This window comes from Homo sapiens, chromosome 3, assembly GCF_000001405.40.
Source record: "Homo sapiens chromosome 3, GRCh38.p14 Primary Assembly".
Classification (NCBI taxonomy): Eukaryota; Metazoa; Chordata; class Mammalia; order Primates; family Hominidae; genus Homo; species Homo sapiens.
This window is the reverse complement of record NC_000003.12, coordinates 119,396,245-119,421,108: the sequence shown is the minus strand read 5'-3', so window position 1 is coordinate 119,421,108 and position 24,864 is coordinate 119,396,245. Positions and strand designations below refer to the sequence as shown.

The following is a 24,864-nucleotide window of genomic DNA, read 5'->3' as shown; positions in this document are numbered from 1 at the left end:
AGTACGTAAAATAACAAAAACAAGAAAAATATACTGAAGCAAATCATCACGGACTTTTTCTGTGAGATCAAACATTGAAGTAACAAAAAATGACATCAAACAGAACAAACTAAAACAATGAACCTGGTGCATATAATCTACTTTTCTGATTATTGATTTTGGTGACCCCATGTCCTCCTCTAGCTCATAGTTCCATCATAAGCATTATATTTTATATCATTTATTAGAGTATTTATTTTTAAAGCATAAAAATCTGTTTTAATTACTTAAATGTCTCTATGGATAGTTTTAATATTTATATTTGTAATGAATAGAATTACATCTTGATTATGTCTTTGGAAACGTATTTGTAGAGCTTAAAACACAGCTGAAATCATGTGGCTTTCCAATAGACTCCTTTGAAAAAGTGCTTTACTTTGCAGAATTATAAGCCAGAAAGTACTATGACATTAAGTTATTGCAAAGCATTGTGATTTATCCAGTAAAATACATGGCTATGGACCTTGTAAGCTTCTTATATTTAGCTACGTCCCCCTTACCCTCACAGAAAAGTAATCTCTGCATTATTAATGTACCTCAAGATTACTAAATGATCTACACAGTAGCCAGCCAATCTGTGGTGGCCCCCAATTTTATGCTATCTGTACTGGCACTGATTTCAGGCAATCACCCTTCCACCATTGCCCCCTCCTCTCCATGCTTGGAAAGATGCTTGCTCCCTCTTCTGGCCTTGTTTTGCTAGGAAAGGTTTTGGTAGTAGAGCACATATTCTTTGTCATGCCACATTTTGAGCTGACCTTCCTGCCAGACATGTCTAAAATCATAGTCTTAGCAACACTTAACCCCAATTCATGTGGTCATCAGATTGGACTGGCCGTGGTAGAATGTGGCCCAAATAAATCCTGGTGGGACTGGACTTACTGAGAACTTCTCCCACTCTAATACTGGACAAAATAATTGTATGCTCCCCAGTATCTCTTCATGCAGGAATGGAAGGCCTGTGTAGACAAATGACTGTCCCATCCAATTTTAGCCAAATGTGATTATCATATGCCAAACACTGACAAGAACAATTTATCTTGAATTGAACAGTTTATCTTGGGCCTACTGCTTCATCATTAACTAGGAGTTAATCTGCTTTGTGATGACAGAAGTCTCTAAAATCCCCTTTTCAAGCACTATGGAATACTGATCTTACCTGGCTCATTTGCAGAGATCTCACACTTCACCAAACCAATTATGACCACACGAAACCTCCGAACCTAGTTGCCACTATTCTAGCCTAGTTGCCACTTTCCAGTTTTCTAAATCAAGCAAAGTTCTCAAATACCCGAGTGTCTCACTGGGATGTTCTATTGGATTTGCAATTGTGTTCAATTTGATTATTTGGAGTCAGTAGGTCACTTGAATACCGTCAACTATCCTATTAAAAGATGCTTGTTGCCACACTTTTTCCCCTTCTGCTTTTGTTTGGCAACTTAATGGTTCTCAACCTTGCTCCTGGTTGTTTATGGGGGTGTTTTATTTGCTGCCATCCCTCCCCCTTTTTCACTAGACTCTTGAATGATTTGGGAGTGCTAAGGTACCCAGTGCACTATTACTAAGCTCCCAATAAATATTTGCTAAGGATGATGATATTTACATTTTTAATGTCCTCAGAGTCTAGACTTTTGACTTGGACAATATTTTGAATTTTAGGGTTTAGATTAGGTTAGGTGTCTTAATGGGGTTCTTGTTCAGATTTCTTCATATTCCAAGTGTAGCAGAAAATATAGGTTACTATTTTCTTAAGCAACCACTAATGCTGAAAGAAAACGTCAGTACATGCATGCGTTTCACTGCAAATCCATCATTTAACATCAGCAACCCCCATTTTGAGGACTGATAGCTGATTTGAAGGAGCCCTTGAGAATTTGATTGCATAGCCCTTTCTAGGGCACCAGGTAAATCCTCCTAAACACAGCAGCTCCTGTTCTGTCCCTCTCCTGAATGGAAGCAGACTATCTGATTCCCATCCAGCCATTCTCAGGGAGTTCATTTTTCGGAGACTCAAATGAGTGGTGAAATAGGTAATCCCAGAGCATTTGGGGGAACAATTTGTGGGGGGGAGGAATATGAGTTTTCTTTCTTTAGAATGGAATTTCATCAGTGCCAGGCTAGCCCAGACCACAGGAAGTTTATGAAAGCCTTTGTGATGGCTGGCAGGCTGGGTGAGAGTCAAAGTGGAGGTCCACACTTGAGCAGCAGGACTCTGGCTGAGAAGGTGAGTCAGCTTCTAAGGCCTTTTGGACTTGACTAGCAAGGAAAGCTGAGAGTAGGGACTATCTCCACAGCTGTCAGTGTGTCTCATGATGACATCCCCAGAACTGTGTTCCTGAAGGTGATGCTATAAATGTCAGAGTCTAAAAGATCTTGCAACCATTTTATAAATCCACACAGGCATCTCAACCCTTAGAACTGAAGTCACTTGTTAATATGTAAATGGTGGCTTCTCAGTCTATCCCCAAATAAAAATAGATCTTATAAATGTTACCAAACAAACATTTAAAATAATCATAAAATAGTTTACATATTCATTATTTGGCTCAGAGTTCTGATGGTGAAGCAAAGTGCAGCTCTTTCCCTCCCTCGCATTCTAACTGGAACATGGTCCTTATCAGAGCGTCGACACCGCAGGAGCACTGAGGCTGACATAAAACCTGTCTGACACATTTTCTGATAAGGCAGGAATGTACTTTTCAGATCTCTTGAACATGGCCTTTCTCATCTGTCACCACTGTATTTCTTCACTTTGCTGGCCTGGGGAAAAATACTATATTCTAGGACTTTTTTCTTACAGGTTCATATCTCGTTGGCTGTTGGTTCAATGTCTTCCTCACCCAATGAGAAGGCCAAAACACTGATGAAAGGCCTTGCTCACTCAGTGCTCTCAGAAGGCAGAACTCATCAGCTGACTTGCCAGTCACCCTCGCCACAGACACTGGCTTAAAAGGTACAGAACAAGATTTCAAAACTGTTTGTAAGGCTTATTGGCGGGGAGGGAGGGAGGGAGAGGGAGGAGAGAGATAGAGAGACAGAGAGAGAGAGGAATATATATCTGTTGCAGGGCATCAGCTCCCAATTTCTCATTGGAGGAGGTAACTTCATCTCAGCCCCCACTAAGCCCAGAACCAGCCTTGGTTGTGACGCCTACCCAGAGGTACTATCAGCCCTTAGAGAAATTTCTGCAATGACTGAGCTTCTGGGCAGAATTCAGCCAGGCTTGAACCTGAGAAGAGATGCCCTGTGAAGTCCTTTTTTGGGCAGCACCAAAAATCTGCCAGCAGGTATATTAGTTCTCCTTTCTCTCGCCAGCTGGAAAGGAAAGAACCATTGAAAGTTATAAATAATTGAAAAGAAAATCAGATTGGTTTATTGCTTCTGCTTGTATACAGAGTTGAAGAGCAAGTTTGAGTGAGTGCCTGGAGTGGGCGGTGGATGAGGGGAATTATGGAAGGGAGAGGGGTTCCTCAAGTCTGTTATTTTTTAAGAGATGGGGTCTCGCTGTGTTGCCCAGGCTGGTCTTGAACTCCTGGGCTCAAGCAATCCACCCATCTCAGCCTCCCAAAGTGTTGGGATTACAGATGTGAGGCACCGCACCTGGCCTCAAATCTGTTCTTGAGCAGTAGAGAGGAAAGGAGAAAGGAAGGGACCCACTGGCTAAAATAAAATACATTTTTAAGAAGGGCAACTCTCAGTGAGTGGTTGTGATGGCCGCCCTGCTAGGGCTCTTCCCTCGCCTCCTGGAGCTCCTCCCTTCATCCTCTCCTGTATTGCTGGGCCCAGCCTAGTGTGGAAGAAGAGTAAAGCTGAGCTAGAATATTTTCTGCTGGTGCCCCACCAATTTAAACACATTAAATTTGGAGTGTAGTTCTGCCTTTGTATGAGGCTTTTATCTATGGTGACATCCTGTTCTTGGACTCTGATACTGTAAAGAAAGCAGATGCCTTCACTTCACAATTGCATACCTAAATGAAGATTTAGTACATTTCATTATGGTAATCCTCAGCCCAGCCTCCACCCTGCGTAGCTACTGGATTTATAAATTACAGTCCAGTACAGTGGCAGTTGGAGTCCCAAATTACTAAAAGCCAGAGCCAGGAAATCTTCTTGGATTGTGCCAGTCTCAGAGTTTGCTCTTGATTCTGATTTTCTATGCTGGTATATGGAAATCATCTTGGACAGGTCTCCAGGGATTCCAGGGAAAGAGCATGGGTAAGAGTGGCTAAGCTCACCCACTTGGATATCTAAGTGCACGTTAGTTTGCATTTCCAAATCCGCTTCTAATTTGGATAGTACATTTTACAAAGCTTATTAGAAAACTGGTCTAAAAGAACACGTTTGAAAGAGCATTAAAAAGCATAAAGAGGAGGCCTTCTAACCCCAATAGCAACATTTTGAGGTTTGACACAGCAAGAGATTTTTCTTTCTTTCAAAGAACATTACTTCTTTCTTTCAAAGGACAGCCAGCTCTCAAGAGTAATAGATAATAGCAATAGGGGAGCAATCTGACTCACATACAAGCTCCAAAGTTCATTGGAGGCAAGCATTCCATCCTCTCCCCTTACCTAACCTTCTCTCACTTGCTCACATAGACTTAACTAAATTTCATCTCTCGTTTTTCCCTTGACCACTCTTCTAGCAAATGGACTAATTAATAAGTGGTCAAAAGGCTGAAGAAAGAGAAGTCAGAGGCCACAATAGGCCCAAACTTGATAACGTGTGCCTGGAATATGGCAAGCTGGCCCTGTAATAACTTCCAGATGAATCACGGTTTTTTTCAGACACCAGCAGGTGAACCGAAATCATTCTATTTGCCTCCCACTTCTTCCATCCAGAATTACTGATCTCCGCTGAGGCTGGTAAAAACAGCTGGTTGAGGTCTCTAGTCTCTGGCCATTCTTAGGGATGGTCATTTTATTCCTAAGTGTAACCCCTTCTGGTGTGACCCATGTGTTTTCTGCCAACTCTCCACAAAGAAGGCCAGGGGAAACTGTCTGGGTGGGACTTCTGATAGGGGACAGCAGGACCTTGGAATCTGTCACTGTGGATGAAGGGGGCAGGTGGTCCATAATGGGGAAAGGAGGACTGAATAAGATTAGGCTCTGAGGTCTTCCTGGCCTTGACCTGTGGAAAGGCTTAGAACCCCCAGATGGTCGCTCTAGTTTTGAAGAAAGAAGGTTGTCCCCAGATGGCTCTGTCTCTGACATGCGCTTTCTGCATTGCACTACTGCATCCTGGGTGGAGAGCAGGTTAGACGAGCCTGGTTCTGGAGAAAGGGTAGGTCCCTCGCACATGCAGGGTGCAGTGGCATCCACTGGTGAGGACTTAATGGCTCCGGGATCTTGCTTTGGTTTTTCTTCCTTTGAGCTTTCCAGGGAGGAGGGAGAATCATCTTTGGCAGGTTTCTGAGTGGTCCCACTGGTTGAGCTGGGTCCCTCCTGGCTCCTCTCCAGAGGCTGAACCCCATTCTCCCCTGAGCTCTGAGAGGGCAGGGGCTGTGGGATCTGGGTGTACTGAATCTTGGGAGGGATGACTGGGACCGCCCTGGCCTGGCACATTTTGACCATGAAGGAGGTTCTCACAGCTGACACACTCACAGGAGCTGAGTTACGGCGGCCTGTCAGTGCATGAGCAACAATGTCCAGGTCCTGGGGGTCCTGGGAGTAAACCCTCCAGGGGTCTGCTTTACAGTAAGATGAGGTCATCCATGTGACCTTTGGGTCTCCTGGCTCAGAGACCTGCATTCCAGGTGAACTAAATGAGGCCACATTCTCAAACCAGAAGAGGTCAGCAATGGGAATGGCAGGGTCCAAGTTGAGGGAAGAAGGCCTGTTTTTCCCTTTTGGGGGCCCACACTCTGTGCTCTTTAGCTGTAACTTTGCGGGGTGCTCTCCAGGCGAAGTGCTGTCCTGCACGCTGGGTGAACTCTCCTTGCTGCTCTCTGGCCCAGGAACACCACCTTGCCTAATCTGTGGACTGCTGTGCCCCAGGTGTGTCCCTAGCTCCTTTCCCTCTGCTAGGCTGATGGGGCTGGTTTCTGCTGGGTTGGGTTGCACACCACTTGGTCCCTTCTGGTTGGGAGGAGCCTCTGCCCCTTTCAGGCCAGAGAACTCTCTGAAGGACCTCAGGGCTTTCTCATCCCATCCAGTAATCTCTCTCCTGGGTGCCTGGGGCTGAAGAGGGTCAGAATTCCTCTCTGTTTCAAGATTAGCACAGCTGCTGGAGGAGGGAACCTCGAGAGTCCACTGGCTTTTAACCGTGGGTTTGCTATCTAGAGAATGGCTCTGGCGAAGGCTGGGCCTGTGGGAAAGCCTCTTCTCCAACTGGTGACCCTGAAGGCCCTGTACCTGGGCCTTGTGCGCGTCTTTCAGGGTGGGAGAGTGAAGGGGACTCGTCACCCACTGGGGTTCCTCCCAGGGCTCCACCATCTCCAGGCCATGCTGGGCAATGTCTGTCACAGTGTCATCTTCGTCACAGTCTGAAGGCTCCTGTACTGAATGGGTTACATCCTCCTCTTCTTGTGAGACGATCTCAACCTCCCTGGTTGGGCTTGGAAAACCACAGCCTTTCCCCTCAGAAGCAGCATTCTTTGAATTTTGCTTGTCACTGTGTCTTGGGGTTGCCTCCTCTCCCTGACAGAGGCTAGAGATCTCAGGGCTGTCTTGGGACTTCAGCTGGTCTATGTAGAGATCTGTCCTCAATTTCCTGGATGAGTCTTCTCTTTCCGGGCCGCCCTTTGAAAGCAGGACTGGAGTTGACTCCTCCAGAGGAGTTGGAGGGGGAGGAGCAGGTGGGAGTGGAGGAGACAGATTGCCTGGGCCTCCTACTTCCACTGTTGCTTGTGGAGATGCCTTCTCAAAAGGAACTATTTCCAGAGGAGCCAGGCTGGCGAGGTCTGGGTGCAGGCCCTGCTCAGGTTCCGGCTTCTCTCTGCTGGCTGCTGTGGAAGCCCCCTGTGTGCTCTGATTGGCTGGATCCCTAGTCCACACCTCCAGAGGGGTGGAGACTGGAGCAGGGAAGGAGCCACAAGGCAAGCTCCCAGGAGGCTCTGAGGGAATAAAGGGCCCCAGACTCGACTCGAGAATAGGCTGAATTGGGCTGGTCTTCAGAGCAGGAGGTGGCAACGATGAGAGCTCCTCCTCAGATTCAATGATTTTCAGCTCCTGTTGAATCTCAGGCCAGATCAGGGCATTGGCCAGATCATCTTCATCCTGAAAAACATCAATAAACTGATTGTCTTAGAACTAAGTACTCTGGGTGCTGACATCAGCGTTTCCAGTGAGAGGGAAGGGACTGACAGCACCAGCCTGTGCCAGTTCAGCAAATACAGGATGCAGCACCGATAATACCTGTGGCTATTTGAGTGCTCACCATGCACCATCACATACTTTAGCTGTATCTTGTGTAATTTTCCCAACTACTCTAGGAAATAAACACTACTATAATTACTCCCATTTTATAGATGAGAGGTGTAGGTTCAAATAGATTAAACAATTTATCTAAGTCATACAGCAGCACACCAGGATTGAAATCCAGTTCTGTCTACACCAGAACGTAAGTACCTAATCTGTATGCACTGTTGCCTTATAAAACAACAAAAACCCTGGTCTCATTTAACTTCAGGTTCATTAGAAGGCACACAAGAATGAGAGTCTTCCAGTGGAATGAAAATGTTAAGTCTTACCCTGACACCTGCTTTCCAAATAAGTAAATATCGTTCTTTTTTAATTTTCTTTTTTTTTTTTTTTTTGAGACAGAGTCTCGCGTTATCATCCAGGCTGGAGTGCAATGGTGTGATCTCAGCTCACTGCAACCCCTGTCTCCTGGGTTCACACGATTCTTCTGCCTCAGCCTCCCAAGTAGCTGGGATTACAGGTGCACACCACCACACCTGGCTAATTTTTTGTATTTTTAGTAGAGATGGGGTGTCACTATGTTGGCCAGACTGGTCTCAAACTCCTGACCTTGTGATCCACCCACCTTGGCCTCCCAAAGTGCTGGGATTAACAGGTGTGAGCCACCATGCCCGGCCTTTAATGTTATTTTTTTGAGACAGAGTCTCGCTCTATTGCCCTGGATGGAGTGCAGTGGCGTGATCTCAGCTCACTGCAGCCTCCACCTCCTGGGTTCAAGCAATTCTCCTGCCTCAGCCCCCCAAGTAGCTGGGATTACAGGCCTGTGCCACCCGGCTAATTTTTGTATTTTTAGTAGAGATGGGGTTTCACCATGTTGCTAGGCTGGTCTCAAACTCCTGGGCTCAAGTAATTTTCCCACCTAGGCCTCCAGAAGTGCTGGGATTACAGGTGTGAGCCACCACGCCCAGTCTCTTTTTTCTTATTACCAAGGAAATACATATTTCACATGGAAAAAAATATGAATACATATTAAAATAAAGGCAAATACAAAGACATCAAAATCATACATCCTTACTCCCCACAGATAACCACTGTTAACATGATGGGGATTTCTTTGTTGTGGTTTGTGGAACTGCCTACTCCTCCACCTTGCTTGCTGTCCTTGTCTCCCCTCAAGTCCAGCTTCCCTTTGTCCTTCTAGACTCCTCCCTTTCCCTACATAAGGCCCAAAGCTATAGACAGGAAAAGGATGGAAGGAGGCCTGCTCAGGGCCAGGACAACCAATTTCAATTTCTTTCTTTCTTTTCTTTTTTTTTTTTTGAGACAAAAGAGTTTCACTTTTGTCACCCAGGCTGGAGTGCAGTGGCATGATTTCGGCTCATTGCAACCTCCTCCTCCCGGGTTCAAGCGATTCTCCTGCCTCAGCCTCCCAAGTAGCTGGGATTACAGGCATGTGCCACCACACCCGGCTAATTTTGTATTTTTAGTAGAGATGGGGTTTCACCATGTTGGCCAGGCTGGTCACAAACTCCTGACCTCAGGTGATCCGCCCGCCTCAACCTCCCAAAGTGCTCAGAAAGGTGTGAGCCACCATGCCTGGCCCAATTTCTTTCATTTCTTGCCTCAAGGCCTAATTCTGTCCCAGGGCGAGGCAGCCGGGGGACGAATCTCCATCCTGGGATGGCACAGGCCTTTGTGAAAGTAATTTTTGCTGCTGACCTCTCGTCCCTTCTCACCTAGCTCTAATCACTTGTTGTTTCATATTACAGTTACTTTAATGCTTGTCTTATTATTCCCAATGGACTGTGAGCTTCTTGAGGTCAGGATTGTGTTTATTCATCTTTGATTCAACAAGGCCAAAAGGTGCCTGGTATACTGTGAATGGGGGCTCAATAAAGGGTCTGCTGAACTGTAATGGATTCAGTGTTTTCTTTTGGATTATTTCTTTCACATATCTCTGTGGGATTACTTTATCAAAATTAATCTGCTTCTACCACACTGCATTTATTTGTGAACATTTCTATTTTGCCTACTAGACTGTGCCCTCCTTCGGAGCGGGGACAGCTTCATCTCTTTACTCTCCTCAGCACCTACATTAACTGGGATATTACTAAGAAATCAATACTGAGAAACCATAAATTTAGATGAACAAATGAACATCTAAACTCCCTTCCACTTCACTCTGCCCTCTCAGTAAGTGGACCCACAGTGCATCTCTTTGCTCAAACCAGAAACCTATGAGGTGCCTTTGACGTTTCCTTCTTTCTCAGCCCTTATCTAATCCTTCAACAAGTCCTGTCCATTCTACCTTCTAAATAGTGATTGTAGCCCTTCATTTCTATCCCCATGGCCCCACACTAGTCTACACCTCCAGCTTTTCTCTCCTGGCTTACCACATACTCCCCTCCTGATGCATTCGTGCCTCCTTTCTTCAAGCCATTCTCCACACAGAATAGAATGACCCATTAAAGACAAAATTCTGAACACCTCATATGCTTTCCCATTGCCCTTAGGTTAAACCCCAAATCCCTTCCAAGAAGTCCTGGCTCCTGCATCCCCCTGAGTCTCACTTTCTCCAGCCCAGCTATCCCAGCCTTGCTCCCATTCCTTGAATGGGAATGCTCTTTTCTACCTTGGATTCATGGCACATCTTATTCTTTCTGCCTGGAGGTCTCTCCTTTCCTAGTCCACCCACTGCCCCTTTCTTCCATCTAAGTTATCTGCCTGAATATGCACTCTACAGAGAAGCTTTCCCCGACCCTTGTGGCATGCCTCCTCCCTCTGACTAGGTTGGGTCCTCTTGCTATGTGCTCCCATGCACTCCATGCTTCCATAGCACCCCAGGAATTACTTGTTCAATCTTTTCCCAACTAGGCTGTTAGCTCCAAGAAGGCAGGGATGGTTAAAGCCTTGTTCACTACAGTGATGCCAGTGCCTGGCACAAAGTTCATGTTAAATACATGTTTTGAATGAATGAATGAACTGATGCCTTTACTTGTTCCCTTGAATCCACCCGGTTCTCTTTCCAGCACTAACTTTACCTGCTTCTCAAAGCAATGCCATTCATTCCTACAGGGTCCTCCCTGTAATAATTCAATCAATCCCCATATGAATCTCTTCATCTTTCCCCTTCAACAAATGCCAATATATCTTATAGAGACCCTAGCTCAGCCATCCTGAGGCCTCCATGGCACTCCACTCTGCCCTAACTCCCAGCACATGGTTCTTTTGTGCACGTCCTGAAAATCAAGACTCTGGAAGCAAGTTCAAAGGCATCCTCCTTTCTGGTGCCCTCCTCTGGTCACAGAGCTGCCTCTCAAATGCAGGACTCCTCCTTGGGTATCCCTGGAAAACCTCCTCACACTTTCTATTGAAGGACATCCCATAAAAACCTTCTTGGAAAATTCCACCTCTAAAAAGTAGACAAGGTTTAGTCAGCTCCAGCATTGTATTTTAACTTCTCCAGAGCCCACGGAAGGAAAGAATGGATCCTGGAAATATTTATTGTTTTGGAAATAAGTGTAGACAACTGCCCATCCAGGATGTCCAGAAGAAGAAGGCTGGACTCTGTGACTGATCATGATATTTGGGACTGGGGTATGACAAGCAGGTCTTGTGCTGCTTCTGGGATTGAATGTCATTACATTCCAAAGACATGTTACTGGCTTATGGTGACCTCAGGTCAGGAATATTTAGAGTTGAGTCTGTATTAGGGAATCTGAACAGGATGTTTCCTCCCCATCACTGCAGGACTTCTGAAAAGTCCACTGCAAAACAAATCTCAGACCTTCATTACAAGTTTGTCTCTTAAAGTCCCTTTGGCAGAAACTGATTTTTCAAAAAAAAATTTTTTTTCAATTTACTTTAAATTGTACCAAGAGCCCTTGGGAAAAAATAACTCCACCTGGCTGGAGCAGGTGGAGAATGCACTTTACCATCTCATGGAGAAGCACAGCTTCGGCTCTGGCCCTGGGGCTCTCCTGCAGGGTGCTGGACTCCATCTCACCAGCCTCTCGTCCCTCCTCCACCACCTTCTCCGGATTTGGCCTCTTCTCTAATTCATTTAAATGTTGAGAGCTCAAGGAGCTTTCTGGGGTTTTCTTCTCCTCCAGGTGGGCGCCTGGCTCCTGGGACAGGCCTTTGCTGCATTCCACTGTCCCCGGTGCTTCAGGTACTGCCTTGGCATCCTCAAGACCTGCCTTCTTAGGTACAGAAGCTGCAGTGAAAATGAGAGTTATCAGTTAAAGGAGACTTCATTTCAAGAGAGACTCTTCCCAACACAGTCACTGTCCTGTCTCCTGGCCCTGTTTCAGAAGGATGGAGGGAATTCCCTCAGCTCACCGCCCCTTGCATTTACTCTTTTATCCTAGCAATGTCCTGGCCTGAGTTCCCAGAGTTACAGATTGTCAAAGAAGGAAGGGACCTCAAAGATCACCTAGTCCGGTGGTTCTCAACCAGGGACCATCTTGCTCCTACCGTTTTCTTCTTCCAGTGGACATTTGGCAATGTCTGGAGACATTTTTTTGGTTGCCACAACATTGGGGAGGGGTGAATGCTACTGGCATGTAGTGGTTAGAAGCCATGGATGCTGCTAAATATCCTCCACTGCACAGAACCTGCCCCACAACAAAGACTTATCCAGTCTAAAATGTCAGTAGTGCTGAAGTTGAGACACCGTGCTCTAGCCCAGTCTCTGACTTCTCAAATAACTAGTCAGACTTCGAGAAGTCTATCTAGGTGCCCAAGGTTACAAAAATCTATTATTCACATCTTGCTTCTTATAATTATGATTAACAGCTTCCTGTGTGACTCTTCCCAGGGGTTATCTCCTGTCAATTTGGATCTATCCAAAGTGATTAAGTTCTGTTCTTAAACATCTACGAGATCAGGAAGAAGCAGGCAGATCTCAAGTTTGGCCTCTATTGCTTTGCATGAAGGAAAGCCCCATTTCTTTGCATAAAGCTGTTTCCACACTCTGGATTAAAGACTGAGTGAGTACCCAGGACTGTGCTCGGCACATAGCAGGCCCTTAAGAAAAATTACCATTTACAGTGGTATTAAAGAAACCTGGGTTCAAATGCTAATTTCTCAATGAATCTTGTAATCTTGGTACAAAGGCATCATAAGACTTGCTTTTCAGGGCTGATGTGAGGATAAAGTAGACAATGGAGACAAAGCATATAGCAGTGTCTGGCACACAGCACAAGCTCAGAAAAGTTTGTTGGTTAAGATTGGTTAAGACCAAACCACTCATTGCCATTGTTTACACTGGTGTCTTCACTCTGAGGTGTCTCACCGCAAGGCCAGCCCAGCAACTCAGATCTAGTGACAGCATTCTGATGTCTGAACTAAAATGCTTCAGAATTCACAATAGTGGTATTTCCTTTTGCCCATCACTTTGCAGGCTTATTTCCTGAAATTCAGTTTTATCTTTGAATATGTAAAATATTTACAGAGTTCAAAAGTTAAAACTACAGGTCATTCCTTGGTATCCATGGGGCGACTGGTTCCAGGACCTCCCCCCAATACCAAAATCCATGTGTGCTCAAGTCCCTGATATAAAATGGCATACATAGTATTTGCATATAACCTATGCACATCTTTTTGTTTTCTAGGTTGCTTATATAATATGTAATATTATCTCTAGGTTGCTTATCTCTAGGTTGCTTATCTCTAGGTTGCTTGTAATATGTAATACACTGTAAATGCCATGCAAATAGCTGTTATACTGTATTGTTTAAGAAATAATGGCAAGAATAAAATCTGTACATGTTTAGTACAGATGCAATTTTTTATTCTGGAGAATTTTGATCTGTGATTGGTTCAATCCATGGATGTGGAACCTTTGACTGTCGAGGGCCCACTGTATATAAAAAGGCCCCTTCTTGCTGGCCCAGCCACATGTCTGCTACTCTACCAGTCCCCCTGCCAGGCCTTGCACTCTTCTGCTCTGGTCCTCCCTGTGGTTGGTTGCAATCTAACCCATTCTTCAAGACAAACCTAACAACACCTCTTTCAAGGCTTCCCAGACCAACCTCTCCTTGGTCACCCACCATGTGTTCATCCCTGTTGCTTCTGGTTTGTTCCACACTCCCACTGTCTCTTATAGATAACTACTTTTATTAGCTTATTGGTTTATTCTGCCAGAGTTTATTTTTGCATATGTAAACAGATACTTGCATATATTTTTGTTTCCCATCCTTAGTACACAAAATACACTATGTGATACAGATTGTTGTTTGCTTTACATTTTCTCACTTAACATATCTTGAACCAAGCCCATGCCATGTTAGTAGAGAGGGAGATCAGTCATTTTTTTTTCTTTTTTTCTTTATTTTTTTTTTCTTTCTTTCTTTTTTTTTTTCGAGATGGAGTCTTGCTCTGTCGCCCAGGCTGGAGTGCAGTGGTGCGATCTCAGCTTGCTGCAATCTCTGCCTCCTGGGTTCAAGTGATTCTCCTGCCTCAACTTCCCTAGTAGCTGGGACTACAGGTGCCTGCCACTGCACCTGTCTAATTTTTGTATTTTTTAGTAGAGACGGGGTTTCATCATGTTTGCCAGGCTGGTCTCAAACCCCTGACCTCAGGTGATCTGCCTACCCCGGCCTCCCAAAGTGCTGGGATTACAGATGTGAGCCATCGCGCCCAGCATGATCATTCTTTATGATGTGGCCTCATTTGGGTTTCCTTCAAAGCAGATCCTGAAATAGGGTCCTAGTAGCAGGTGGCTTATTTAGAAAGTGGTCCCAGGAAGAAGAAATGAGAAAGTGAGAGGGACGGAGGAAAAGTCAATAAAGAGTATTTTGTTGAGTTCATTCCCATTTTCAGCAACTGGGACTCAATCCCTGGTAACCCTAAGAAGCACTATGTAGAATGTGTCTTACAACAATCCCTCCAAACAATGAGAAGGTGTGTCATTTATCCACTGATTCCTGGCTTGTATTACTTGAGAGCTACCCCAGTTAATTCTCCATGCTTCTGGGCTGTCCCACGCAAAGGCTGAGTGAGCCAATCCCTTCATAAAATGCTCTGAGGCAGAAAACCAGAAACGCAAGGCAGACATCTGAGATAGGTGCCTTTCATGTGCACAGAAACTGTCCCCGACAGATTCGCTGGAGTTTGGGGGAATGTGGTGCAAGGCTCACAAAGCTATGGACTCTATAGAACTTCACTGTGTGGATGCACCCTAGTTATTCAACCAGACCCCTAAAGCGGGGCATTTGGGTTGTTTCCAGTCCTTTGCTATTACAAATAATGCCATGACGTGCAAACATCATTTTGTATTTATGCAACCATTTATTTAGGATAAATTCTTAGGAGTGAAACTTTTGGGTGAAAGGGTAAATGCATCCATAATTTTTAAATATATATTTTTTAACATTCTTCTAAATCTAGTAGTTGGAGGAACTTGCCAGTGTCCCTTTTTGTAGAGCTTCTTTCCATTGACCATGACCATTAATATGGACTCCTGTTTGAGGTGTGAAGGAAGGGCCCGTGCTAACCATGAGTTTGTACCTATCACTCACTCCCTTGCTGAAAACCCTCAATGGCTCCCTATTGCCTCCATTATGGCATGCAAAGCCCATCTCACTGTGGCCCAGCCACATGTCCTCTCTTCTCACACTCCCCTAACAGGCCTTGTTCTCCCCTGCTTTGGTCCTCCCAGTGATTCCAATTGAATCCATTCCTCAAGACATAAACCTAACAACATCTCTTTGTAGCTTTCCCATACCATGTCACTTAGCACTCAGTGTTATTATTTATGTGCTGCACAGTCCTCAGGTTACCATGATCTCTTTTCAGGTACATGGCTTCTATCCTTGGGTAAGTTCCTCAGAACAGAGGCAGTATCTATTCCTAAAAATTACCTGAAAATCTTCAACAAATTTTTGTTGGCTGACAGATTTGGTGGCTACTTGTAAACTACAAGAAATCTCTATAGCTCAAAAGGGAAGGGCATTGTCACGTTCCCAGCATGTGACACATTATACACAAAGCGGGTGACCATAGAGGCAGAGATTGATAATCGTTGCCCAATATCTATCCTCTTCTTTATTTGGAGCTAGAACCTCCCCCACCCCCCAGGTTTTAGCTGGGCACATGGTTTTCCATCTAGTGACATTCCTCAGCCTCCTGAGGGTAGTGTGGCTATGTGAAATATGTTTGGCAGATGGGAGGCAGTGGAAACGATGTGTGCAGCTTCTAGGTGACATCCTTAAGTGGAAGCTGCTTGGCTTCTTCCTCTAGCCCTTTCCCATGGGTGGGAATGTGACTGTGGGGGTGAGCCTACTCTGACCATGCAGACAAGGACAACACCCCTGGGTATGGCTGAAGGAGCCTGGAACCTCAGATCTCCTGCATCACAGTCACCTTATTCTGGACTTGTGTGTAAGATAGAAATAAACTTCTATCTTGTTTGAGCCGCTGTATTTTTTATTTTCTATATTATAGCAGCTTAGCCTGTACCTTAACTAATAGAATCAACTAATGAGTTTATAAGGTAGGCTTGCTCCTGATTAAAAAAAATAGGGCAAAACAAATTTTTGTAGGTGTTATAGAATCATATTTCAGATGCACTAAAATAGAACTAAGAGAATTCTATTGTAAGTTCTTTAGTAAAAGAATGGGGCAACTCCTAATATCTCTTAGGGAAATTCTGGATTTTCATTTATCAAGTTTCTGTAAAGCTATATGTTTATTCTGATCTTCCTTAACAAGCGTTTCTAGAAGGGGATGCAGAGAGTGTCGGTTGTAATTTTTAAACCAGCCCATAAGCTCATCCTTCACTTTCAGAAGGATTCGGTTTGTTGTCCTTTCTCCCCACCAGCTGAGGATGAGGTTAGCAGGACATGCTCTTGAATCAGGTAAAAGTCAGATAATCAACCATGATGATTACATTGATTAATCCTTCAATTTTTTCATTCAGAGTAATCAGTATTTACAATCATTTAACTTTAGTTAAAATGCACTACTTACTCGGTATCTCTACGCTTTGGGTCACACTGGAATTTCACTTAGATTGGCCAAAAGTGGGAGAGTTGGTTTGACCAGAGCAACTAAAAGTTTAATTGGGTAACCTGGAAAATTGCCTTTAATTCTTTTTCTTTTGCCCCCTGCTACTGCACAACAGAAAGAAAAATATTTAATTAATGAAGGTGAAGTTCTCCACATGGAATAATCATGGAAGAAGATAAGACACTGAAGTTAACCTCACCCCGTCAGAGAGCAGGGTGAGGGGACCTGTTGCCCCTGAGCCTCTCAGCAGCCCCCTTCCACCCTCAGTCTCAGATCTGGATGGCTGCCTTCCACAAGGCCCCTCTTTCTGCCCTGACTGCCCATTGGCCACAGGTAGGAAGGCAGGCTGGAGTCTCCATTAGTGTCTTTCCCAGACCAACTTAATACAAAATGTGTATTCTTATTTATAGAGAGGAGAGAGGGGGAAAAACGGATAACAGACTGTCTCTAAAAGACCCCATGGGGCCCAGAGACCTATTCTTCCAGAGAGGATAACAAATCTCACAAAAGCCTTTGGAAACACTGTTTTCCTCAAAGCCTTCACTCCCTCCCCTATCCCTCATCCTGCTGCCCATGACATCTTGCTGCCCATGACCCACACCAGCCCATGACATCGTTTTCCAGACAAGGCATCACTTGATACCCCGAGATTTGCTCATCTGCGTACCCATCCTGAAAGGAAATGGGAGGAAGGGACTAATATTTACTCACATCTTCTGTGAGCCAAACTATGGACAGGTATTTTATGGACATTTTCCCATTCAGACCTCACTACAGCCTTTGGGATAGGAGTCTCCCCAGCTTTGCAGATGAGAAACAGGCTCCAAAATTTCCCACTGCCAAACTGACAAAAAGCAGTAAAGCTAGCATCCGAATCAGCCCAGTTGGGTTCCAAAACCTACATACTTCCCACAACATGTAGCTGCTCAGAATGCCCTTTCTCTTCTTTTCTGCATGGAGAAACCCTACCCATTTATGAAGGCTCAGTCCAAATGTCACCTCTTCTAAATCTTCCTGGAATCCTCCTGAGAGGACTGTCTCTCCTTCATGCCCTTGCCATCTGTTAGGAACACCTCTTTCATGATGCTTTGGGTACCTAACCCCTCCCTAATTCCAAAAATCCTGAGGAGGCTCTTATGCTGCTTCCATAGGCTGACCCTGTGCTGAACTTCAGTGCAGAGTTTCAATTTCCCTTCTTAGTTTTTGAGCTCACTGTGGGGAAGGGATCATGTCTTAACAATCTTTTAACTCCACAGCCCATAGTGAACACAGGAGGGAGCGTGGTATAGTGTTACAAGCATGGATTTTTTTAAAGTCTGGATTAAAATCCTGGTGTTTCCACTTCCTTGCTATGAGTGATTCAGCAAATAAACCATTCCTCTTTAAGGAAATGGGGATAATAGTGACTATCTATATCATAGGATAGAGGGGAGAAATGAGATAATATTTGCAGGACACTTAGGAGAGTGCCTGACAACCTAATAGGTGCTGAAAATGACTAATATTAACGGAAAAGAAACATTCCTAAATCACAATAAACATTTGTTGGTTTGATTGTCAGCCACCCTTTCCTTTGGGGTTCTCCCTGCTTCCATTTTATGTGGCCCATGTTTGCTTGTTAATTAAAGAAACTCTCTTCACTCCAGACACACCCAGAGACTCAAGTCTGGCCAATCTCAGAACCCAATTAGCTGGAAACAGTGATTGGTCCAAGGCTGGGCATGGGACTCAGGCAGATCCAATCAGAATCCTTCCTGCATTTGATATCAGAAAATTGGGAGAGGGATGCTCTTTCTCGTTGCTAGGGTTGCTAGCCATGTTGTCTGCAAATATAAAGTAGAAATAAGGATGGGTGGATGGAAAGAGAAGGAGACTGGAAGAACTGAATCCCCAATTCCAGCTCTGCAGCTCTGCATTCCATTCTGTGAGTTTTTCTCCTGCCTTCTCACTCTGTGAGCAAATAAAATAATAATAGGTAATATTTATTATATACTTATTGTATGTAGACACTGTTCTGAGAGCTTCATATGTATTAAATAATTTAATATTTACAACAAACTTATGAAAAAGGTATTATTAACATAATTATTCCCATTTTACAGATTAAGAAACCGAGGCACAGAGTGGTTACATTAACCTGCTGAAGATCACGCAGTAAAATGGCAGAGCGTGGATTTGTACCCAATCGGGCTCTAGAGCCCACAGGCTTAACCACCGCACTATATTGCCTTGCAAACTCAAGCAAATTTAAGTCTGGTTTTTCTCTCTTGCAACGGAAAGATACCCTCTCTCCTCTACTTACCTGCAGAAGTCTCAGCTCCCAGCGGTTTCTCTTCTTCTGGCCAGCCTCCGCTCTCTGATCCATGAAAAGAAAACTCTTCCAGGCTGGAAAGAGACTGCAGCTCCTTCGGGGGTGTTCTGCACGGCGTGCTGTTGGTGCTGATGACTGCGGACACGCGGAGCGGCACAGATACCGCAAAGGGCTCGGAGATGTTCAGCGCCTTGCGCTGGTTACGCGGCGAGGGCTCCATCTGGAAGAGGCTGCTGGTGAAGACGGATTTGCTAGGGCTGTCGTTCGAAGTGTAGAACATACCCAACATCTTTGGGGCTGTTTGCTCGCTCTCCGGATCCTCAACAGGCCGGAAAACCTTCAGCTGTTCCGGTGGGGGCCGGGCCTGAGCGCCCTGGAGATGGCTGCGATCACTGCTCACATCAAAGCCACCCTCAGCCCCGGGAGGCATCCCCTCCTGGCCCCATTCGCCCTCCTGCTTGGTGAGGTCACATGAGCTGCCGGTGCCGGTGGAGTGCATCTTTGTTGCTGGAATGAAAAATCCACCGGTGGTAACTGTTCGATTGAAATTTCCCTTGGTTTCTTTTCCTAGTAAAAAGGAACAAGTGTATGGTCAGCAGCCGGGGCACACATACAATAGCAGGCCTTCCAGTAAGGGCAGGCACACGACATTTGAATACTAGAGAGGCACAGCATTCTAACAGGGGCATAACCGCCCAGATAAAGACAGGTAACATCTGGATGACAAAAGAGAAAGCACTTCCTCATATGCACAGAATTTCAGCATGATGCTTTGGTAGGTTCATTTGCTGTTGTGCCATACAGATCACTTTTAAACTTTGCAGGTAGAGCAGTTTTCAAAAAAAGATTACTGCTAAAGTTGCTAAACAGAGCCATCATCTACTAGGCATTAAATGTAGACCATGAAAAAATAAAGAGACAGATGGGAGGCGGTAGGATGATGTTTGCTCAAAATGAAGAAGACAAAAAGGAAAAATAAACAGAATCTTGTCTTATTTTAGAACTTTAAAACTTTTTGTTTTAAGTTTTCTCTGGCAGATGGACCCAGACAGGGGGGTTTGATTTCCCAGCAAGGAAACAAATGCTATTAACAACTAGACCTTCCCCACCTTTTCTCAGGCTTCTTCCTGTTGATTCAGAGGATGAGAAACTAGAAATGTAAATTAACTAACTGTTAGAAAGCACAGTTGTGAGGAGTGAATTTTTTTTTTTTTTTTTGAGATGGAGTACAGCTCTGTCGCCCAGGCTGGAGTGCAGTGTCGTGATCTCGGCTCACTGCAACCTCCACCTCCCGGGTTGAAGTGATTCTCCTGCCTCAACCTCCTGAGTAGCTGGGATTACAGGCACCTGCCACCGCGCCCGGCTAATTTTTGTATTTTTAGTAGAGAGGAGATCTCACCATGTTGGCCAGGCTGGTCTTGAACTCCTGACCTCAGGTGATCTGCCTGCCTCGGCCTCCCAAAGTGCTGGGATGACAGGCATGAGCCACTATGCCCAGACCAAGTTCTTGACTTAGAAATAAAGGCAAGGAAGAGAAAAGCCTACGTGGGAAGTAAATAAGCTTGGAGATGATACGCGAGTTGCCAGGAATCTAGAAAATAATTTCTAACTTGGTACTAAGCACTAAACTGGGCATCTTACATAACTGTATGCTTAAAATTCTTATGACCACCCTGTAAGGAAGTGTAATGATCTTTAACACATGAGGACATCGAGACTCAGCAGTTAGATGACCTAATACTCACATGCCATGTATATAAAAACCTATATGTTGAAATATTAACTCCTGCAAAACTGGGCAATAACTGCCAAGAAGTTTCCAAACCAAAGCAAATAGATGAATATAAAAGTAAGAAAATGCTGAAAGTATCGAGTTAACTTAAGAAGATCTCACTGAGTGTTATACAGGTTTAGAATTATTATTATTTTTTTTTTGAGACAGGCTGGAGTGCAGTGGCGCAATCTCAGCTCACTGCAATCTCTGCCTCCTGGGTTCAAACGATTCTCGTGCCTCAGCCTCTGCCTCCTGGGTTTAAGTGATTCTTGTGCCTCGGCTTCCTGAGTAGCTGGAATTATAGGCATGCACCACCACGCCTGGCTAATTTCTTGTATTTTTTTTAGTACAGAGAGGATTTCACCATGTTGGCCAGGCTGGTCTCGAACTCCTGGCCTCAAGTGATCCACCTGCCTCAGCCTCCCAAAGTGCTGGGATTACAGGCATGAGCCACCACACCCGGCCCGGGTTTAGAATTATTTTTAAAATGTTGTTCTAAAGATTTTCTGTATTGTTTTGGTCTGACCCATTTTTGAAAGAGAAAAATGTCTTGTATTAAAGGGGCTGGAAAGTCATGGGATAAGTATAGGGGAGTTTTAACAGTCTGTTGCCAGACAAGTCCTTTGCCTTGTAATTTGTAATGGTGCTTGTTGGTTACTTAACAGAAATAGAAGAGAGAGATACAGGCAAGTCAGCCCTGAAGGATACAGCTGTGAGAACAAATGTTATGTGTTATTTTGGTGGTCGGTGTTACCTCATGTGCAACTGTATACACGTCTACTCCAACAAAGGATATTGTGGTTTGCACATGGCTGATACATAGCTGGTGCCTAATTAATGTTTAATGATACATAATAAATGAATGAATAAATAGATACATGAATGAACCTACCAACTGAAAATCATGACTTGACACAAAAACTAGGAAGCGAAAGCATATGGAAACAGCCAAGTTCAAGATACATAGGCCTCTAGGCATAAAACCATAGGGCATAAACCAATGCTTGGCTCTTTCTTTCTGCCCAAAGGGGAAGACTCTTCTGCCTTAGGTTTCAGGTGTTGACCTTTTACCTGGTTCAGGTTTGAATGAAAAGTAGCCATGGACTTCAGCTGTGGCTAGAGGAAGGATGGGCAAAGAGGATGGCTCTTTAGGCCTAGCCCTGGAGTAAGGTAGGGGAGGTTATGGGGCTATGTGAACCCCTTGAGTTAGGGTAGGGTCAGTGAGGGATTTGGGACTAGGTAGTTGTGTGTGACTGTGACTATAGAGAAGCAGGCATGACAGCTTATAAAGGCAAGTGAGCTCCAGCCTCCTAGTTGTAATCTCCAACTCAGAAACTACTTGTAAAATCTTACCTTCCACAGGCACTGAACATAGTGAGTCCATGCTTTTAGCTGGTCGGATAGTAGCCTTTTCCACTAAAGACAAAAGAAAAAATATCCTTGATGAATGCATATTAACAGAAAGCATTCAGAAAAATAGGTCAGGCTGTTTAAGTACCCAAGACAAAATTCTTTAGGAAAGTTTTTCAAGTATAATTGATCCCCTTGGAAACATTCCTCTACTCCACCCTAGATGTTCCTACTTTCTTAATGCGACAGACCTAATAAACTCAGGGCAGTTATAGATCAAAGTTTTATTAATATTTTACAATAAAGGTAAATTGCAATTTTGTCAAATAGCTCATAGCAAATGAGGACTCCTGAGCTCAATTTTACTTTACAAAAAGTATTCAAGGATGAATCCAGGGGTAGAATCCATGAGGCTCCAGGGCATTCTTCGTATTCAGCAGGCCAGAGACCAGAGAGCTGAGACCACATCTCAGCTACTGCAAATTTGGTACAGCAGGTGAGAGGGCCCAAGGGAATTGGAGTTAGGTTTCTGCTGGATGCAGCTCTGTTCCTTGAGGCCTGCAGGCTGGGTGCTCCCCAGTGATCTCACCCATTAGCTTCACCCTGAACAGATTCCAGTAAAACCTTTTTTGCACACTTACTCTGTGACTGGGTATGCACCATGCATCTTTGTAAGCCACCTTAGCAGCTTTTTGGAAGAGTGTGGTTTAAATGAGTAAAAATTTATTCCAGGCATAGCATTACATAGATGCATTCACAAACACCATCTCTTTTCAGGGAACAGAACTGGCTGAAAGGTAGTTCCTTCTAGGTCGAGCTTGTCAGGAGGGGAAAGAGGGCACTTGGAAGCAGGAGGCCCAGGACTAGTAGCCCTTAAGGTAACTCTGAATTCAGAAACATCTGGGTTTGAATTCCAGCTCTGCCGCTTTTGGGCTGTGTGACCTCAGACAAGCAGCTAAACATTTTTTTAAATTTATTTTTATTTATTTATTTTTTTAAGACAGGGTCTTATTCTGTTGCCCAGGCTGGAGTGTGGTAGAGTGATCATAAGCTCACTACAGCCTCAACCTCCTGGGTTCAAGCAATCTTCCTGCCCTAGCTTCTGGAGTAGCTAGGACTATAGGCACACACCAACAAACCTGGCTAATTTAAAAAAATTTTTTAGAAACAGGGTCTCACTGTGTTGCCCAGGCTGGTCTCAAACTCCTAGACTCAAGCAATCCTTCTGCCTTGGCCTCCCAAAGTGACAGCTAAACTAAACTCCAGTTTTATCATGTGTAAAATGAGAAAAAATAGAGTTGTTGTGAGGATTAAATGGGTAATGGCTATAAGGTAATTATATTGTACTAATCTGCAATAGAGTAAGTACCCATTAAAAAGTAATAATTATTGATTGTTGTTGCTGCTATTCAGGATGGATCAGGGCTCAGCAACAAAAGGGAAGACAGGAGAAGGTTCTATGAGAAGCAGTTAGAGTTGGCTTTAACCAAAATTGAGCTGTAACTCAAGCTTGTTTTTGTCTCTTGTTTAAAGTTCCCCTGTTCTTCCTCCTTGATCCAAACCTGCTCCTTCTGGGAGGTTCTGAATTAGCCCCTTGGTCTCCCAGCTTGAGGCTTCTCTCTTTCTGGGGCCCACTGTGGGACGCCCAGCCACCTCCATGCAAATCCTTTGCAAAGGCAGAGATTGCCTTTCACCTCCTCACTTCCAATGTGCCCCAGAATTCTTATCCTTTGAAGATCTGCTATTTCCACAAATCTATAAATTGATTTACTGCCCTGAAACTACCTGGTCAGCATCCCTTTGTTTGTGTATTCTAGGACATGCACTGCCTTTGTTTTCCAGGAGCTGTATTTCTGGAATTTCTCTGGTTTCCACATGTCAACCTTGATAGGCAGTGACCAGGCGCCCCTGACTGTGTCACAGAGGCCGGGTAGCAGCTCTGTCTGTAGGTCCATCGGTGTCCACCTTTGGTGTTGAAGCCTCTTTCTCATGATGCAGTTCCTTGTGGCCTTGCGGAGCACAGCAGCACATCAGAGATGTGGCTTGGTGGACAGTCCCCAAGCATTCCCTGCCCTCCTTTCTGGAGATTAACTAAGAGCTCAGGCTCCTGTGGCCTATGACTATATTTATATTACATGTTTCTGTCTGGGACCTTGGCCTGGCCTCACAGAGGTGTACTCCCCAGTTTTCTGGCAGCCTTTGTGTCCTTGAGTCCTCCTCTCTTAGCTGCGTTACTCAGAGGTGAGCCTGGACCTGCTATAGCTGTATGGCTTTGAGATTTCTCTGCTCACAGTTCATTTTGGAGGGTTCTCTGAACTCTTCTTTCTCTTTAATAATGTACAAAAAACTTAAATGGAATCAATTAAAATACACATATCTGGAAGGCTCTAAAGTTTGTGCATCTTAATTCAGTTCTCCATTTTTTCCTATACTTTATTTCTTACCTGTTTCATTTTCTAGATATGGTTAAACACCCCCTCACCAACTCCTCCCCACCCAAAACAATCCCAATACTATTCATAGTGAATTAATTTTTTAAATGTCTTTATTTATGGAATTTTAAAGCATATATTTACATATGTTAATCCACTGGTTCCCCTTTTCACATGCATATTTCAACAGCAAGCTCACGTGCCACTTACAGAGACCACACTGGTGGATTACATTTGTTACAGGGTTCAATGGCCTAACTTTAATCACAGATTCCACTAAAGTTATGACCATAAAGCCTATTGGTCTTTATTTTCCAGAGTTGCCAGCAATATTCTTCTGGTAAAAAGAAACCACTTCAGGCAATAGTTAAGGCCACAGGGAGCCACTTATATTGACACTGACAGTTCTTGAATTTCACCGCTGCATCCAGTTAGTGAAGATCTGATTAGTTTGTTCATAAGATCATAAGCCAGTGACTTTCAACACTGACTGCATATCAGAATCACCTGGGGAGCTTTTAGAAAATTACCAATACTCAGACCTCACCACAGAACTTCTGAGGCAAAATTGCTATGGTGTGATCCACT

General features: G+C 44.4%; 1 protein-coding gene and 1 long non-coding RNA gene across 3 annotated transcripts in view; one reads left to right on the top strand and one right to left on the bottom strand.

Moving 5' to 3' along the window:
- The window catches only part of ARHGAP31 (Rho GTPase activating protein 31), a 126,332-nt gene continuing 101,862 nt past the window's right edge, over positions 395-24,864 (bottom strand). Inside the window, exons 9-12 of one of the 2 annotated variants that reach the window (NM_020754.4) lie at positions 21,848-21,910; positions 18,712-19,287; positions 11,333-11,613; positions 395-7,253 (exon numbers count right to left, since the gene is read on the bottom strand). In NM_020754.4, coding sequence (NP_065805.2) covers positions 4,845-7,253; positions 11,333-11,613; positions 18,712-19,287; positions 21,848-21,910 — 3,329 coding nt within the window. In that variant the 3' untranslated portion in view covers positions 395-4,844. The remainder of the gene's footprint in view (positions 7,254-11,332; positions 11,614-18,711; positions 19,288-21,847; positions 21,911-24,864) is intronic. The other variant, XM_006713714.4, reaches the window with a different exon arrangement.
- Positions 11,582-24,236, top strand: LOC124906273 (uncharacterized). The gene is made up of 2 exons (XR_007096027.1): positions 11,582-16,742; positions 18,512-24,236. It is a non-coding gene; the product is annotated as an uncharacterized LOC124906273 (long non-coding RNA).